We start from the raw sequence: 17,739 nt of genomic DNA, 5'->3' as shown, positions 1-17,739 counted from the left end.
GCTAATTTTTTGTATTTTTAGTAGAGGCGGGGTTTCACTGTGTTAGCCAGGATGGTCTCCATCTCCTGACCTCATGATCCGCCCACCTCAGCCTTCCAAAGTGCTGGGATTACAGGCGTGAGCCACCGTGCCCGGCCCTACAGAATGGTCTTTCCTAACCACACAGCAAGTCAGGAAGTCCCTGCCTAGTGACACCTACATCTAATCACTTAGCTCTTTGCCTGGAGCAGGGCCTGGCATTCAGCAGGTGCTCATATGTGAGCGGCGCTGGTGGGGAATCAGGGCCCGCATGACCCAGAGCAGCTGTTGTAAGACATGGGTCCAGCAAAGCATTCCTCATGCTGCTGCCTGCACTTACCCTCTAGGAAGGCCAGCCTGGAGGAGCCACTTCTGCCCTTCAGGCAAATGATAACTGAGCACCTGTCTGTGCGGGTGCTAGGTGGAAAGGTCCAGAGATGGCAGTGGCCTGGTCCCTGCCTGGGGCACCTTCTCTCCACCAACAGACACTTACCCAGCTGGTTAGGCCTGTTCTCACCCCGCAGTCTGTAGTTAGCACCCAGGCTGGGAACAACAGCCTGTGTTCCTCTCCCTTTCCTTGGTACCTTCTCTTCTTGTTCCTTTATTTTTTTCTGAAGAGATAGGATCGCCCTATGTTGTCCAGGCTGGACTCGAACTCCTGCCCACAAGCCATCCTCCCACCACAGCCTCCTGAGTAGCTGGGGTTACAGGCACGCAGCACCGCGGCACTGCACCGGCTATTGTTCTTTTATTTTTTTCCCTCTTTGTCCCTGAAAGAGTCAAGCTACTAATTGTCAGTAATCAAATCAGACCACGATTTCCCAGGCAAACTCCTGGCAGTTCTACATTTAGGAATGACTAGCTAGAGACATCCTGAAGAATGAGTTATTCGGGGAGGCGCCAGCCACCTCCTCTAACTTCACCTCTATCTGCCCTCTGTGTGGGTACCCCTTGCTTCCCTGGATGCTTGACTCCCCCATTTCATCCTCAAAATGCCACCACCCCCCACCAGGCCTTTAGGAACATCAGCTGGCTGTTCCCCACAGTGTCCTGTGGCCCTGGGCTACTCATTCTGACACTGGCCATACTGTGGCACACCTTGTTATGGGCTGTTGTCAGACCCAACTGGAGAAAGACCAGCTGTAGGTCATTTCCCTTACGGGAGTGCCCCAACTATATGACCTGCCCCCTCTTTCCTGGTATCTTTTTGAGTCAGGGTCTCACTCTGTCTCCTAGATTGGAGTGCAGTGATGCAATCACGGCTCACTGTGGCCTCGACCTCCCAGGCTCAGGTGATCTTCCTTCCTCAGCCTCCCAAGTAACTGGGACCACAAGCACATGCCACCAAACCCAGTTATTTTTATTTTATTTTATTTTATTTTATTTTGAGACAGAGTTTCACTCTTGTTGCCCAGGCTAGAGTGCAATGGTGTGACCAGCTCACTGCAACCTCTGCCTCCCGGGTTCAAGTGATTCTCCTGCCTCAGCCTCCCAAGTTGCTGGGATTACAGCCACCCACCACCACGCCTGGCTAATTTTTGTATTTTTAGTAGAGATGGGGTTTCGCCATGTTGGCCAGGCTGGTCTCAAACCCTTGACCTCAGGTAATCCACCCACCTTGGCCCTCAGGTAATCCACCCAACTGCTGCTGTATGTTGGGATTCCAGGCATCAGCCACCACGCCCAGCCACTAATTTTTGTATTTTTGTAGAGATGGAGTTTCGCCATGTTTCCCAGGCTGGTCTGAACGCCTGGGCTCAAGTGATCCGCTCGCCTTGGCCTCCCAAAGTGCTGGGATTATAAGCGTGAGCCACCATGCCTGGTCTCTGGTACCTTTTAAAATATACAGGCTGGGCATGATGGCTCATGCCTGTAATCCCAGCACTTTGGGAGGCTGAGGCAGGTGGATCGCCTGAGGTCGGGAGTTCGAAACCAGCCTGACCAACACGGAGAAACCCTGTCTCTGCTAAAAATATAAAATTAGCTGGGTGTGGTGGTGCATGCCTGTAATCCCAGCTACTCGGGAGGCTGAGCCAGGAGAATCGCTTGAACCTGGGAGTCGGAGGTTGAGCTGAGATCACACCATTGCACTCCAGCCTGGGCAACAAGAGCAAAACCCTATCTCAAAAAAAAAAAATATATATATATATACACACGTATATATACGTGTATATATATATACACACACATATGTATACATATATACGTATGTATACACATATATACGTATATATACACATATATATGTATATATACACACATATACGTGTATATATATACGTGTATATATATATGCATGCCAGACATGGTGACTCATGCCTGTAATCCTAGCACTTCAGGAGACTGAGGCAGGCGGATCACTTGAGGTCAGGAATCTAAGACCAGCTTAACCAACATGGTGAAACCCTGTCTCTACTCAAAATACAAAAAATTAACGAGGCTGGTGGCACCTATAATCCCAGCTACTTGGGAGGCTGAGGTGAGAGAATCACTTGAACCCAGAAGGTGAGGGTTGCAGTGAGCTGAGATCGCACCACTGCACTCCAGCCTGGGCAACAGAGCGAGACTCCATGTCTGTCTGTCTGTCTATCTATCTGTATAATGTATATGTATGTATGTATATATGTGTGTGTATATATATACACATATATACATACATATATACACACATACTCTGTTACAGAGCTGCTGTGTGTGTGTGTATATATATATACACATATGTATATATACACATATACACATATATATGTATATATATACACACATATATATACACATATATATGTATATATATACACACATATATATACACATATATATGTATATATATACACACATATATATACACATATATATGTATATATATACACATATATATGTATATATATACACACACACACACATACACATAATTGTGTTACAGAGCTGCTATGTAATCTCACAATCATCAGAAAAATGACCCCCAAAAGGGGAACCTTGTTCAGATCAGATGACTTCTTAGCATTAGGCATTCCAGTAGGACACTCTAGACTCTTGCGGGGAGACAAAAGCCAGCTTAGTTTTTTCTAACACTCATATGTTAAACTTGTTTGTGTCCAAAACTTCTTTAGAACTGTGATATTCTTACAGGCAAATGAAGTTGCTTAACAAGTGTTTGTATTTTCTCCCCTATTTCTTCCTCCCAGGCTCAAAGATTTGGAAAGAGACAGCTTAACAGAAAAGGTAATCTCCACCTTAAAATTTTTCTTATTACCAAATCTGACTGACACACTTTGTGGCTCATAAAAAGAAATTTGTTTTCTTTAAATGGATTTTGCATTTTTTCCCATGGAGTTTCAAAGATAATTTGGATATTCTTGTTAAATGTCAGCACTAATTTGCTGCTAATAGTTGGGTGGTGGTGGTGTTTTTTTTTGTTGTTGTTTTTGTTTTTTGAGACAGAGTCTCACTCTGTCACCCAGGCTAGAGTGCAATGGCATGATCTCGGCTCACTGTGACCTCTGCCTCCCGGATTCAAGCTGTTCTCCTGCCTCAGCCTCCCAAGTAGCTGGGACTACAGGCACGCACCACCATGCCCAGCTAATTTTTATATTATTAGTAGAGATGGGGTTTCACCATGTTGGCCAGACTGGTCTTGAACGCCTGCTCGTGATCTGCCCACCTTGGCCTCCCAAAGTGCTGGAATTACAGGCGTGAGCCACCATGCCTGGCCCAGGTTTTTTTTTTTTTTAACCAATCTCAGTTCCTAAACAATCTACTCTGGATTGTAACTTGTCCTGGTAACACTGTTTTATTGTGTTTTTGTTATTGTTTTGAGATAGGGTCTCATTCTGTAGCCCAGGCTGGAGTGCAGTGGCACAATTTTGGCTCACTGCAACCTTCGCCTCCCAGGCTCAAGTGATTTTCCCACTCAGCCTCCTGAGTAGCTCTAACTACAGGCTCAAGCCACCATGCCCAGCTAATTTTTAAATATTTTTTGTAAAGATGGGATTTTGTCATGTTGCCCCAGGCTGGTCTTGAACTCTGGGGCTCAAAGCAATCCACTTGCCTCGGCCTCCCAAAGTGCTGGGATTATAGGTGTGAGCCACTGTGCCTGGCCGACACTTTACAGAAGCACAGTATTATTCTTATAAACCATGATATGTCTCCATCTCACCTCCAGCTTTCCCATTTTTCACCACTTTGGAGACAGGAGTGAAGTGATCCTAATGGAAATTCCCTGAACACATTTCATGACTGTTTAGTGTTTTGACTGAGACAGCATTGCCTGCCATTCACTCATTGTGATGTGATCAGGCAGCTCAATAATTTGTGTATTAGTCCACTAGTGAATAGCTTGGGAATGTGGGTACTGCTAAACCTATATCCTTCCCTTAGGAATGTGTGAAGGAGAAATTGAATCTCTTGCACGAATTTCTGCAAACAGAAATAAAGAATCAGTTATGTGACTTGGAAACCAAATTACGTAAAGAAGAATTATCCGAGGTAAGTCAGTTCTCAGCATCCTAGCCTCTAGAAAAATGTCTCCTCCTAGTAACTTGTCTGTGACCAGGGAGGCAGCAAGATCCCCAGCTGTCCTCATTGCCTGATGATGATGATGATGATGATGATGATGAAGGAAACACATGTGTTTCCTTGTTCTCTGACACTTGTTTACATTCACTGCTACTTAAATTATCCTTTCCTGCTGTAGGAGGGCTACCTGGCTAAAGTCAAATCCCTTTTAAATAAAGATTTGTCCTTGGAGAACGGTGCTCATGCTTACAACCGGGAAGTGAATGGACGTCTAGAAAACGGGAACCAAGCAAGAAGTGAAGCCCGTAGAGTGGGAATGGCAGATGCCAACAGCCCCCCCAAACCCCTTTCCAAACCTCGCACGCCCAGGAGGAGCAAGTCCGATGGAGAGGCTAAGCGTAAGAGCAGATGATTCCTTTTATTTTTAATTGTTTTTGAGATGGAGTCTCACTGTGTTGCCCAGTCTGGAGCACAGTGGTGTAACCTCGGCTCACTGTAACCTCTGCCTCCCAGGTTCAAGAGACCCTCCTGCCTCAGCCTCCCAAGTAACTGGGATTAGAGGTATGTGCCACCACACCCAGCTAATTTTTGTATTTAGTAGAGATGGGGTCTTACCATGTTGGCCAGGCTGGTCCAGAACTCCTGACCTCAAGTAATCCACCTGCCTTGGCCTCCCAAAGTGCTGGGATTACAGGCATAAGCCACCACGCCTGGCCCTGCTTAACTCTCTTTCTTTCTTTCTTTTTTTTTTTTTTTTAATGACAGAGTCTTGCTCTATCGCCCAGGATAGAGTGCAATGGCGCGATCTCGGCTCACTGCAACCTCCGCCTCCCAGTTTCAAGCGATTCTCCTGCCTCAGCCTCCCAAGTAGCTAGTATTACAGGCGGGCACCACCATGCCCAGCTAATCTTTGTATTTTTAGTAGAGATGGGGTTTCACCATGTTGGCCAGACTGGTCTGGAACTCCTGACCTCAAGTGGTCCTCCCGCCTTAGCTTCCCAAAGTGCTGGGATTACAGGTGTGAGCCACCGTGCCCGGCCCCACTTGGCTCATTTTCAACCTAGAAGCAGGCTTTGGTAGCATATAAGGGGGCAGTTAAACTTGGACCCCAGGTCAGTGTGTCCAGGTTCCTTTCTTTTGTACGCATCCTCACTAGTAATTACTGGACACTTCCTAACTAGCTTAGATGTGTACGTCTTTAAATTTTGTCTTAGCTGGGGGTGTGGTGGCTCATGCCTGTAATCCCTGCACTTTGGGTGGCCAAGGTGGCTGGATCACCTGAGGTCAGGAGTTCGAGACCACCCTGCCCAACATGGCAAAACCCTGTCTCTACTGAAAATACAAAAAATTTGCCAGACGTGGTGGCGGGTGTCTGTAATTCCAGCCTGGGCAACAAGAGTAAGACACTGTCTCAAAAAAAAAAAAATGTTGTTTTCGACCAAGTTGCAGCATTAGATCCCAAAACATGGCTATGAGTGTGACAGGTTGCAGATGACAAGTGCTACAAATACTTACTCCTTCTAAGACCTTATATGCCTGGTTAAACATTTATTCTCAGACTCTTGCCCAGTTTTAGGCAAAGGAACTCTAATGGAAATTTTTTTTTTTTTTTTTTTTTTTTGAGATGGAGTCTTGTTGTCTCCCAGGCTGAAGTGCAGTGGCGCAATCTCGGCTCACTGCAAGCTCTGCCTCCCAGGTTCATGCCATTCTTTTGCCTCAGCCTCCCGAGTAGCTGGGACTACAGGCGCCCGCCACCATGCCCGGCTAATTTTTTTTGTATTTTTTAGTAGAGACGGGATTTCACCATATTAGCCAGGATGATTTCGATCTCCTGACCTCATGATCCGCCCGCCTCGGCCTCCCAAAGTGCTGGGATTACAGGCGTGAGCCACCGCGCCCAGCCTCTTCTGGAATTTTTTAAAAAACAAACAATAGGATAGTACTTGAGCTCAGGTCTGGTTCTCAGCTACTTCATTTTTATTTTGTTTTATTTTATTATTATTTTTGAGAGAGAATCTCGCTCTGTTGCCCAGTGGCACGATCTCGGCTCACTGCAAGCTCCACCTCCCAGGTTCATGCCATTCTCCTGCCTCAGCCTCCCAAGTAGCTGGGACTACAGGCGCACACCACGCCTGGATAATTTTTTGTATTTTTAGTAGGATGGGGTTTCACTGTGTTAGCCAGGATGGTCTCAATATCCCGACCTCGTGATCCACCTGCCTCGGCCTCCCAAAGTGTTGGGATTACAGGCGTGAGCCACCATGCCCAGCCTTATTTTATTTTCTTTTAATTTTTATTTTATTTTTTGAGATGGAGGCATGCGCCACCACGCCCAGTTAATTTTTGTATTTTTAGTAGAGACAGGGTTTCACCATGTTGGCCAAGGTGGTCTCGAACTCCTGACCTCAGGTGATCCACCTGCCTTGGCCTCCCAAAGTGCTGAGATTACAGGTGTAAGCCACCTCACCTGGCCCTTTATTTTATTTTTTTTTGAGATGGAGTCTTACTCTGTTGCCAGGCTGGAGTGCAGTGGCACAATCTCGGCTCACCACAACCTCCACCTCCTGGGTTCAAGTGATTTTTTTGCCTCAGCCTCCTGAGGAGCTGGGACTACAGGCACGTGCCACCACGCCCAGCTAATTTTTGTATTTTTAATAGAGACGGGGTTTCACCATGTTGGCCAGGATGGTCTCGATCTCTTGACCTTGTGATCTGCCCGTCTTGCCTCCCAAAGTGCTGGGATTACAGGCATGAGCCACTGCACCTGGCCTATTTCTTTTTTTTCTTTCTTTCTTTTCTTTTTTTTTTTTTTTTAAGAGACAGGGTCTTGCTCTGTCGCCAAGGCTGTGTACAGTGGCGCGATCTTGGCTCACGGCAACCCCCATCTCCTGGGTTCAAGTGATTCTTGTGCCTCAGCCTCTTGAATAGCTGGGATTATAGGTGTGTACCACCACGCCCAGCTAATTTTTTTGTATTTTTAGTAGAGATGGGGGTTTGCCATGTTGTCCAGGCTGTTCTCGAATACCTGAGCTTGGATTATTTTCCCACCTCAGCCTCTCAAAGTTTTGGTATTATAGATGTGAGCCACTGTGCCTGGCCCACTTCATCTTTTGATATTTTAACAAGAGGCTCTGTTTCCTGGCCTTCTTTAGCATTTGGCCCCTCAAATAACTGACATGATATGGCTCAACAAACTGGCAGGTGCTAACTGCCAACATTAGCAAGCTGGTTGTTGACTAGAATAAAAATGCAAAGATGCTTAGTCCTTAGAACCTGGCTTCCTGCAATAGCTTAGTAATGTTGAACTGCATTATTGCTGTGGGCTTTCTATTGATAGTGGCTTTTTTTTTTCTTTTTAATGCTTTTTCTTCTTTAAACAGCTGAACCTTCACCTAGCCCCAGGATTACAAGGAAAAGCACCAGGCAAACCACCATCACATCTCATTTTGCAAAGGGGTCAGTATACGATAAATTGGCGGCTGCCTTTTTTAGGGGCCGGCTGTTTTGGGATGGAATTGGTAGGGCGTCACGTGGCAATTCTGTCTTCCGTGTTGTATAGGTTTTCATCTTGCGGTTCTGTTCTCTAGACATTTATGAATAGCATTTCTGAAAACGTTACCTGTTTTTACTCATATAGGAAAGTTCAAATGTACACAAAATCATGAGTTTTGTATAATGAACCCTGAAATACCCATCATCTAGTGCCAACAGTTATCAAGTTACAGCCGTTGTTTCATCTATACCCCCATATTGTGTGTCCCTGCCCCACCTGGATTACTTTGTCCATATATAGTTTAGTATATTTCTAGACAATGAGATCTCTTTTGACAACTTTTTAAAAAATTACTCATATTTTACAATAATTGCTAACATTTAGCAGTCTTTTTTTTTTGAGACAGCATCTGGCTGTCACCCAGGCTGGAGTGCAGTGGCACGATCTCGGCTCACTGCAACCTCTGCCTCCCGGGTTCAAGTGATTCTCCTGCCTCAGCCTCCTGAGTATCTGGGATTACAGGCGCGCGCCGCCACGCCTGGCTAATTTTTGTATTTTTAGTAGAGGTGGGGTTTCACTATGTTGGCCAGACTGGTCTCAAACTCCTGACCTCAGGTGATCTGCCCACTTCAACCTCCCAAAGTGCTGGGGTTACAGGCGTGAGCCACCGTGCCCAGCCAAAACAGTCTTTTTAACAAACCAAAGTATAATACTGTTCTGATGTCTTTATAAAAATGTAAGAATTCCCTGCTATCAGATATATAGTTGGTATTTACGTTTTTCCCTTTGTGGTGAACAAGCCGTGTGGCAAACAGACAGCGTTTGGTTGACTTGTTCCTTAAAGTTATAGATTCCTTCCCTCCTATTTTACTTAAAATTCCTCACAGATTTTAAATTCCTTCATCTCTTATCTTCTTGCCATTTACTTGAAGAAATTCATTTGTCCAATAGTTCCTAGATTGGGCCGATTGCATCCTTGTGGTGTTCCACAGGTCCCCTTGCCTTCTGTTCCCTATAAACTGATAGGATTACAGGACTGATCAGATTCCAGCTTTTTATTTTTTGAGACTGACTTTTTTTTTTTTTTGATACGGAGTCTTGCTCTGTAGCCCAGGCTGGAGTGCAGTGGCATGATTTCGGCTCACTGCAACCTCCACCTCCCAGGTTCAAGCGATTCTCCTGCCTCAGCCTCCTGAGTAGCTGGGATTACAAGTGCCCGCCACAACCCCTGGCTAATGTTTGTATTTTTGGTAGAGACAGGGTTTTACCACGTTGGCCAGGCTGGTCTGAAACTCCTGAACTCAGGTGATCCTCATGCCTTGGACTCCCAAAGTGCTGGGATTATAGGCGTGAGCCACTGCACCTGGTCTGAGGCTGACTTTATGGATGGTGCTGTGTCCCTCCATCAGAAAGGTGTGTGAGGTCTCTTCTCTGACACTAGCAGCTGTTGATCGGTGTTTAGACCCGTGATTTCTTAGGACTTACAAGATGGCAAGACAACATTCTAAACCCGTCATTCAGAGAAACATTAAACTTGAAGCCTCTTTCAACATCCTGGTGAATGAGGGTCCACTTCAGGCCAGCTGGAGGCCTAGGGTCTTGTTCCACTAATGGTTGGCCTCACTGTGTGTGACAGCCCTGCCAAACGGAAACCTCAGGAAGAGTCTGAAAGAGCCAAATCGGATGAGTCCATCAAGGAAGAAGACAAAGACCAGGTAGGGCCAGTGCTTTCATTTCCTGACTCTACCTTAACTTGGTGTATTTGATGATTGTGACTTCATATGTGTTCTGTCCAAGTAAATAAAAACCCTGTCTAGGGCTCTATTTAGGGCTCTCCAGAGAGACAGGACCAATAGAATGTATATGTGTGTATACAGCTATAGGTACATATATACATATGCACGTGTATGTATATATATATAATTCGTTTGATTTTTTTCTTGTTTTTATGGGTACATAGTTGGAATATATATTTATGGGGAGAGACTTTATTTTGAGAAATTGGCTCACAAGATTGTGAAAGCCAGCAAATTTGAAATCTGCAGGGCAGGCTGGAGGTCCAGGGGAGAAATGATGTCATAGCTCAAGTGGCAAGGCAGTCTTACATACATACATGTTATATATATGTGTGTGTGTGTGTGTGTGTGTGTGTGTGTGTGTGTGTGTGTGTATGTATGTATGTATTTAGACTTCTTTTTTTGAGACTTTTTTTTTTTTTTGAGACAGGGTTTTGCTCTTGTGGCACAATCTTGGTTCATTGCAACCTCAGCCTCCCGGGTTCAAGTGATTCTCCTGCTTCAGCCTCCCGAGTAGCTGGGACTACAGGCGCGTGCCACCACGCCCGGCTAATTTTTGTATTTTAGTAGGGATGGGGTTTCACCATGTTGCCCAGGCTGGTCTCCCATGTTGCCCAGGCTGGTCTCGAACTCCTTGAGCTTAGGCAATCTGCCCGCCTCAGCCTCCCAAAGTGCCAGGATTATAGGTGTGAGCCACCGTGCCCAGCCAATTTGTTTTTTTTGTTGTTGTTGTTGTTGTTTTTAATTTTTTTTAGATGGAGTCTCACTCTTTCACTCAGGATGGAGTGCAGTGGCACGATCTCAGCTCACTGCAACCTCCGCCTCCTGGGTTCAAGTGACTCTCCATCCTCAGCTTCCTGAGTAGCTGAGACTACAAGGCATGTGCCATCATACCCAGCTAATTTTTATATTTTTAGTAGAGATGGGATTTCACTGTGTTGGCCAGGCTGGTCTTGAACTCCTGACCTCAAGTGATCCACCCGCTTCAGCCTCCCAAAGTGTTGGGATTACAGTTCTGTCTTTTTTCTTTTCTTTTCTTTTCTTTGAGACAGGTCTCATTCTGTCACCAGGCTGGGGTGCAGTGGCGCAGTCATGGCTCACTGCAGCCTCAACCTCCTGGGCTTAAGCGATCCTCCCACCTCACCCTCCCAAGCAGCTGGGACTACAGGCGCATGCCAATGAGCTAAGTTTTGTATTTTTTGTAGAGATGAGGTTTCCCATGTTGCCCAGACTGGTCTCTAACAAATAAATTAAACAAATTCCTGACACAAGATGGAGAATCTTTGATTCTTTTACATAGTATCACCAGGCGATCTCTAGTGATGGGCAGTGTGCCTGCCTACTTCTCGGACCTGCTTTTGTTTTGGGGTTGGTGGGGATTAATACCAGAGTAAGAGTTTCTCAGATCTTCTCCCCAAAACCCAGGCCCCTTCTTTTCCCACTCTTGCTCTAACCATGTCAAATGTGTTAATATTTCAACTCACACTTTTGGTGTTGACCTTCCCTTGAAACCAGTATTCTAATCTTTTTTGTTCTTCCTTCCCTCCACACAGGATGAGAAGAGACGTAGAGTTACATCCAGAGAACGGTAAGAATAGTTACTATACCTTTCTTTTTGTTCTACGAGTTGTGTAATCTTGATCACAAAACTTTTTCAGAAAGTTTAAGGCCGGGCACGGTGACTCATGCCTGTAATCTCAGCACTTTGGGAGGCCAAGATGGGCGAATCACTTGAGGTCAGGAGTTCAAGACCAGCCTGACCAACATGGCGAAACCCCGTCTCTACTAAAAATTCAAAACTTAGCTGGGCGTGGTGGAATGTGCCTTTAATCCCAGCTACTCAGGAGGCTGAGTCAGAAGGATTGCTTGAACCCAGGAGGTAGAGGCTGCAGTGATCTGAGATCATTCCACTGCACTCCAGCCTGAGTGACAGAGCAAGACTCCATCTCAAAAAAAAAAAAAAAAGTTTAAAAAGAAGAACTTTATCGTGTGTTTCCATGGCAACCATATCGTTATGAAGTATCTGAATTTGGGGTCAGATCATTAGCGTTTAGATTCAAGTAGAATTCTCCTGTTTTCTTGGAAGGAATGAATCGAGGGCAGCTGGCATTCGAACCAGGTGTAAAAGTCATATCAAATACTAAATGTTAAATGAGTATGTGTCTGTCAGGGCTCCTGAGATAATGAAGATTGCTTTTGGGGGAAAGAGGAGCTTTATGAAAACTGCTTCTTTGGGGAAGCTCCTGGCACTCACACTTGGGGTCTGTGTTATTTTGCTTGACAGAGTTGCTAGACCGCTTCCTGCAGAAGAACCTGAAAGAGCAAAATCAGGAACGCGCACTGAAAAGGAAGAAGAAAGAGATGAAAAAGTAAAGCTCTATCACCTCTAAGTTTGTTAATTCTCCCTTAATCCTATATGGTCCCAATTTCCTTCCAGGACGTGGGGACAGGGGGTGGGGAACGTGGAAGAACAAGATGGGTTTTGCTAGTGATCGAAATGCCTTTGACTTTGGCTAAACACCTTTCAAACTTGTTTTCTCGTGGTCTCTACATGAAAGGTGGGTTATGAGATTGTGATAGTGAGGACCCTTGCTACTTATTTGTGATATTTTATTTTATTTTATTTATTTATTTATTTTTGAGACAGTCTCCCACTCTGTCACCCAGGCTGGAATGAGTACAGAGGTGCGATCTCGGCTCGTTGCAACCTCTGCCTCCCAGGTTCAAGTGATTCTCATGTCCCAGCCTCTTGAGTCACTGGGACTACAGGCGCCCGCCGCCATACTCGGCTAATTTTAGTGGAGATGGGGTTTCACTGTGTTGGCCAGGCTGATCTTGAACTCCTGACCTCGAGTGATCCACCTGCCTCAGCCACCAAAGTGCTAGGATTACAGGCATGAGCCACCACACCGGCCAACCTATGCCACTTAATCAACTAGTCACAGAGCTTCAGTTTGTCACCTCGCCTTCTTGCTTCTCTGGCTGATGAGATCTTTGTGAAGATCTAATTTTCAGACGTACGAGGTGCTAAAACTTTTTTTTTTTTTTTTTTTGAGATGGAGTCTTGCTCTGTTGCCCAGGCTGGAATGCAGTGGTGTGATCTTGTCTCACCGCAACCTCTGCCTCCCGGGTTCTTGTGCCTCAGCCTCCTGAGTAGCTGGGATTACAGGTGCCTGCCACCACAGCCAGATAATTTTGTATTTTTAGTAAAGATGGGGTTTCTCCATGTTGATCAGGCTGGTCTTGAACTCCCAATCTCAGGTGATCCACCTGCCTTGGCCTCCCAAAGTGCTGGGATTATAGGCGTGAGCCACCACACCCGGCCTAAAATACTTTTCAAACTTATTTTTTTGTAGTTCTCTACATGGAAGGTGGGTTATGAGGTTGTCATAGCGAGGATCTTTGCTACTTATTTGTGGTATTTATTTAATTTAATTTAATTTTTTTTTTTTGAGACAGTCTCCCGCTCTATCACCCAGGCTGGAGTGCAGAGGTGCGATCTTGGCTCATTGCAACCTCCGCCTCCCAGGTTCAAGTAATTCTCATGTCCCAGCCTCCCAACTAGCTGGGGCTACAGGCGCCTGCCACCACACCTGGCTAATTTTTGTGTTTTTATTTATTTATTTATTTATTTATTTATTTATTTATTTATTTGAGACGGAGTCTCGCTCTGTCGCCCAGGCTGAAGTGCAGTGGCTTGATCTCCGCTCACTGCAAGCTCCACCTCCTGGGTTCACACCATTCTCCTGCCTCAGCCTCCCGAGTAGCTGGGACCACAGGCGCCTGCCACCATGCCCGGCTAATTTTTTGTATTTTTAGTAGAGAAGGGGTTTCACCACGTTAGCCAGGATGGTCTTGATCTCCTGACCTCGTGATCCTCCCATCTCGGCCTCCCAAAGTGCTGGGATTACAGGCGTGAACCACCGCGCCTAGCCAATTTTTGTGTTTTTAGTAGAGACGGGGTTTCACCATGTTGGCCAGGCTGGTCTCAAACTGCTGACCTCGAACGGTCCACCTGCCTCAGCCATCAAAGTGCTGGGATTACAGGCACGAGCCACCACACCGGCCAACCTATGCTACTTAAATCAACTAGTCAGTTTCAGTCTGTCACCTCAGCCACCTTCTCTGGCTGACGAGATCTTGGTGAAGATCTAATTTTCAGATGTAGGAGGTGCTAAAATTCTTTAGCATCATCCAGACATAAAGTTGTATTCTCCTCTCTGAAGTCAGACCAGCTCTTTCCCCAGTCCCTCATCTTCTTTGTAAAATCTGAGTCTAAGGTTCTATGCAATACAGATGCTGGGTCCTGTTTTTTTTTCTGTTTGTTTTGTTTTTTAATAAGATGACTGAGGGCCGGGTGTGGTGGCTCATGCCTGTAATTCTAGCATTTTGGGAGGCCGAGGTGGGTGGATCGCTTGAGCTCAGGAGTTCAGGGCCAGCCTGGGCAATGTAGTGAGACCCCGTCTCTGCAAAAAATACAAAAATCAGCTGGATGTGGTGGAGCTTACAACAGGCAGTGTGCCTGTAGTTCCAGCTTCTCAGGAGGCTGAGGCAGGAAGATCACTTGAGCTCAGGAGGCTGAGGATACAGTGAGCCATGATTGTCCCACTGCAATCCAGCCTGGATGATAAAGTGAGACTGGTCTTAAAACAAACAAACAAACAAACAAAACAAACAAACAAAAAAAAACCAAGATGACTAGAAGTTTCTTACCAACTTAGGTAGGTGACGAGTGCCTTACTTGGGAGCTTAGTAAAGGATGGCTGTCCATTGGGGAATCAACTAAAATGTACAGTAATTTTTTTTGTTTTTTGAGACGGAGTTTTGTTCTACTTGCCCAGGCTGCAGTGCAGTGGTGTGATCTCGGCTCACTGCAACCTCTGTCTCCTGCGTTCAAACAAATTCTCCTGCCTTAGCCTCCCGAGTAGCTGGGATTACAGGCTTCCGCTACCACGCCCAGCTAATTAACTTTTTGTACTTTTAGTAGAGACAGGGGTTCACCATGTTGGCTAGGCTGGTCTCGAACTCCTGACCCCAGGTGATCCACCCGCCTCGGCCTCCCAAAGTGCTGGGATTACAGGCGTGAGCCACTGCATCCGGCCGCTGTACAATAATTTTTGAACCATTCAGTACTTGAGGTTGGTCTTTCTTGCTTTTTTTCTTTTTTTTTAATTGAGATGGAATTTTGCTCTTTCGCTCAGGCTGGAGTGAAGTGGCGCAATTTTAGCTCACTACAACCTCCACCCCCTGGGTTCCAGCGATTCTCCTGCCTCAGCCTCTCCAGTAGCTGGGATTATAGGCGCCCGCCACCCCGTCCGCCTAATTTTTGTATTTTTAGTAGAGACAGGGTTTTGCCGTGTTGGCCAGGTTGGTCTGGAACTCCTGACCTCAGGTGATCCACCCACCTCAGCCTCCCAAAGTCCAGGATTACAGGGGTGAAACACCACGCCCGGCCGAGGCTGGTCTTTCATTGATCACCTTTCCTACCCTGATCCTAGTTAAATTAGACAGCAGTTGCAGTCAGTGCATACCTCGAATTTGTTTCAGAACAAGCAGTCCTAACGGGCTAGTTCAACCACCACCTTCCAAAGAAGGAACCTGGGGCAAGATCGAAATCCCTCACCTGTAAGCATACTCTCAGGATTTCTTCTTGTAGTAGGAAGATTTGCTAAGCGTTTTTTTTATTTTTATTTGAGACGGAGTCTCACTCTGTCGCCCAGGCTGGAGTGCAGTGGTGCGATCTCCGCTCACTTCAAGCTCCGCTTCCCAGGTTCACGCCATTCTCCTGCCTCAGCCTCCCGAGTAACTGGGACTACAGGCACCTGCTACCACGCCAGGCTAATTTTTTTTTGTATTTTTAGTAGAGACGGGGTTATTTATTTATTTACTTATTTATTTTTTGAGACGGAATCTCGCTCTTGTCGCCCAGGCTGGAGTGCAGTGGCACGATCTCGGTTCACTGCAAGCTCTGCCTCCCAAGTTCACGCCATTCTCCTGCCTCCACCTCCCCAGTAGCTGGGACTGCAGGCGCCCGCCAACACGCCCGGCTAATTTTTTTTTTTTTTTTTTTTTGTATTTTTAGTAGAGACGGGGTTTCACTGTGTTAGCCAGGATGGTCTCGATCTCCTGACCTCGTGATCTGCCCATCTCGGCCTCCCAAAGTGCTGGGATTACAGTAGTGAGCCACTGTGCCCAGCTGCAAAGTGTTTCTTAATATTCCTGACCTTTGCGATCTCTTCACAGACTACCACATGTGGAGTTTCTGAGGGTTGGATTTGACTTGCCTGATTCTCTGGCAAGATGTGTCTGGTTCTTTAAATGCAGCCTCAGGCTGGGCATGGTGGCTCACGCCTGTAATGCCAGCACTTTGGGAGACCAAGGCAGACGGATCACTTGAATTCAAGACCAGTCTGGCCAACGTGATGAAACCCTGTCTCTACTAAAAATACAAAAATTAGCTGGTCATGGTGGTGTGTGCCTGTAAACTCAGCTACTTGGGAGGCTGAAGCAGGAGAATTGTTTGAACCTGGGAGTTGGAGGTTACAGTGAGCCAAGAGTACACCACTGCACTCCAGCCTGGGTAACAGAGTGAGACTCCGTCTCATAAATAAATAAATGAATAAATGCAGTCTCAGAGGATGTGTTGTTGTGTCTCAGTTGGAGCTACTTTTCAGATTGGGCCATCCTATTTCATTCCTTTAATATCGGAAGTAGAGATTTATAATAAAGTTACTTTCTGTGAGGCTATCAACACTTAACTGATGACAAGTAGTAGAGGAATTTTGAAGTAAAAATACTGAAACTGCAGTGTTGTAGTATCTCCTTTCTAAGAGTTTCATTTCCTGTCTACTTACCCCACTGAAGAAGAAAAGAAAATTGCTGTCTTGAACACCTGGCACAAGTGATCCTCTCACCTCAGCCTTCCAAAGTTCTGAGATTACAGGCATGAGCTACTGTGCCCACTGGTAGACAGTCTTTACTCCCACCAGTGGACTCTAGAATCAGTTCAGGTGTTTTATTTCCATAGGACACTTTAATAGAAAGATCCAAACCAAATGGAAAAAATTAACTTGTCTTTTTTCCCTGCAACTTAGGAAGAAAAGAGACTCCGAAGTCAAACCAAAGAACCGTAAGTGCAGCGAACCTGCCTTTGTGCTTTGTTGTGAAACTGAATTGCTAACATAAGTATCTTGGTAAAATAACGGGTTGGTGTGGAACAGTGGGCACTAATCATATGTCTCTTATGTGGGCAAGTTCTGCTTGTGAAAGGTGAGACCACCCTGAAGTGAAGGCTGAAGTTAACTTTTTTAACTTTAATTTAATTTAATTTAATTTTGAGACGGAGTCTTGCTGTGTCACCCAGGCTGGAGTACAGTGGTGCAATCCTGGCTCACTGCAACCCCCACCTCCCGGGCTCAAGCAATTCTCCTGTCTCAGCCTCCCGAGTAGCTGGGAGTATGGGCCTGTACCACCATGCCCAACTAATTTTCGTATTTTTAGTAGAGACAGGGTTTCACCATATTGGTCAGGCTGGTCTTGAACTCCTGACCTCCGTGACCCACCTGCCTCGCCTCCCAAAGTGCTGGGATTACGGGGTGAAGTTAGCTTCGATTTCTCCTCCCAACCCCAGGGCCCTTCTCAGGGTTGGTCACACAGCTGTGTGTCATGTGGTAGTGAAAGGCCATCAGGTGAGCAGCTGTGTCACTTACCTTTCACTGTGAAAATGCTGTGTGACAAATGGCTCCAAGGCCAGAGGCCTAGAACAGTGAGCATTTTTCAAGCTCACTTGTCTACAGCTTGGTGGCTGTCGGCTGATCTTGAGGTGGCTTAGTGGGGATGGCTGGGCTGACCCAGCTCTGCCTCCGCAATTTGGCCAGGCTGGGTACACGCTTGTGGCTGTGCCAGACCACAAGGGCA

At 46.1% G+C, this 17,739-nt stretch overlaps 1 protein-coding gene across 4 annotated transcripts in view, besides 5 other annotated features; it reads left to right on the top strand.

The window, feature by feature from the left end:
- The window catches only part of DNMT1 (DNA methyltransferase 1), a 61,608-nt gene that overhangs the window by 9,673 nt on the left and 34,196 nt on the right, over positions 1-17,739 (top strand). For 2 of the 4 annotated variants that reach the window (NM_001379.4, NM_001318730.2), the window contains exons 2-9: positions 3,204-3,240; positions 4,396-4,503; positions 4,712-4,931; positions 7,914-7,989; positions 9,663-9,741; positions 11,376-11,410; positions 12,107-12,191; positions 16,917-16,951. In NM_001379.4, coding sequence (NP_001370.1) covers positions 3,204-3,240; positions 4,396-4,503; positions 4,712-4,931; positions 7,914-7,989; positions 9,663-9,741; positions 11,376-11,410; positions 12,107-12,191; positions 16,917-16,951 — 675 coding nt within the window. Of the gene's footprint in view, positions 1-3,203; positions 3,241-4,395; positions 4,504-4,711; positions 4,932-5,046; positions 5,095-7,913; positions 7,990-9,662; positions 9,742-11,375; positions 11,411-12,106; positions 12,192-16,916; positions 16,952-17,739 lie in introns of all 4 variants that reach the window. The other 2 variants (NM_001318731.2, NM_001130823.3) reach the window with 2 other exon arrangements.
- Positions 644-3,048: an origin of replication, noted in NCBI's record as "2.38 kb c1 construct; promotes replication of a plasmid as detected by bromodeoxyuridine incorporation into nascent DNA". NCBI's record gives the evidence for it as "EXISTENCE:nucleotide analog incorporation evidence [ECO:0001107][PMID:10092611]".
- Positions 644-4,361: a biological region, named in NCBI's record as "origin of replication in DNMT1".
- Positions 846-1,346: an enhancer, noted in NCBI's record as "H3K27ac hESC enhancer chr19:10294611-10295111 (GRCh37/hg19 assembly coordinates)". NCBI's record gives its function as "activates a minimal SCP1, AML or CMV promoter by ChIP-STARR-seq in naive H9 embryonic stem cells {active_cell/tissue: H9 hESC(naive)}" and the evidence as "EXISTENCE:reporter gene assay evidence [ECO:0000049][PMID:30033119]".
- Positions 883-1,286: an origin of replication, noted in NCBI's record as "c1 region; peak of nascent strand synthesis detected by competitive PCR of size-fractioned DNA". NCBI's record gives the evidence for it as "EXISTENCE:fractionation evidence [ECO:0000100][PMID:10092611]".
- Positions 3,951-4,361: an origin of replication, noted in NCBI's record as "c3 region; peak of nascent strand synthesis detected by competitive PCR of size-fractioned DNA". NCBI's record gives the evidence for it as "EXISTENCE:fractionation evidence [ECO:0000100][PMID:10092611]".

The sequence above is a fragment of the Homo sapiens genome, chromosome 19 (genome assembly GCF_000001405.40).
Source record: "Homo sapiens chromosome 19, GRCh38.p14 Primary Assembly".
NCBI lineage: Eukaryota > Metazoa > Chordata > Mammalia > Primates > Hominidae > Homo > Homo sapiens.
The sequence above is the reverse complement of the archived record's forward strand: the minus strand, read 5'-3'. Positions and strand labels throughout refer to the sequence as shown.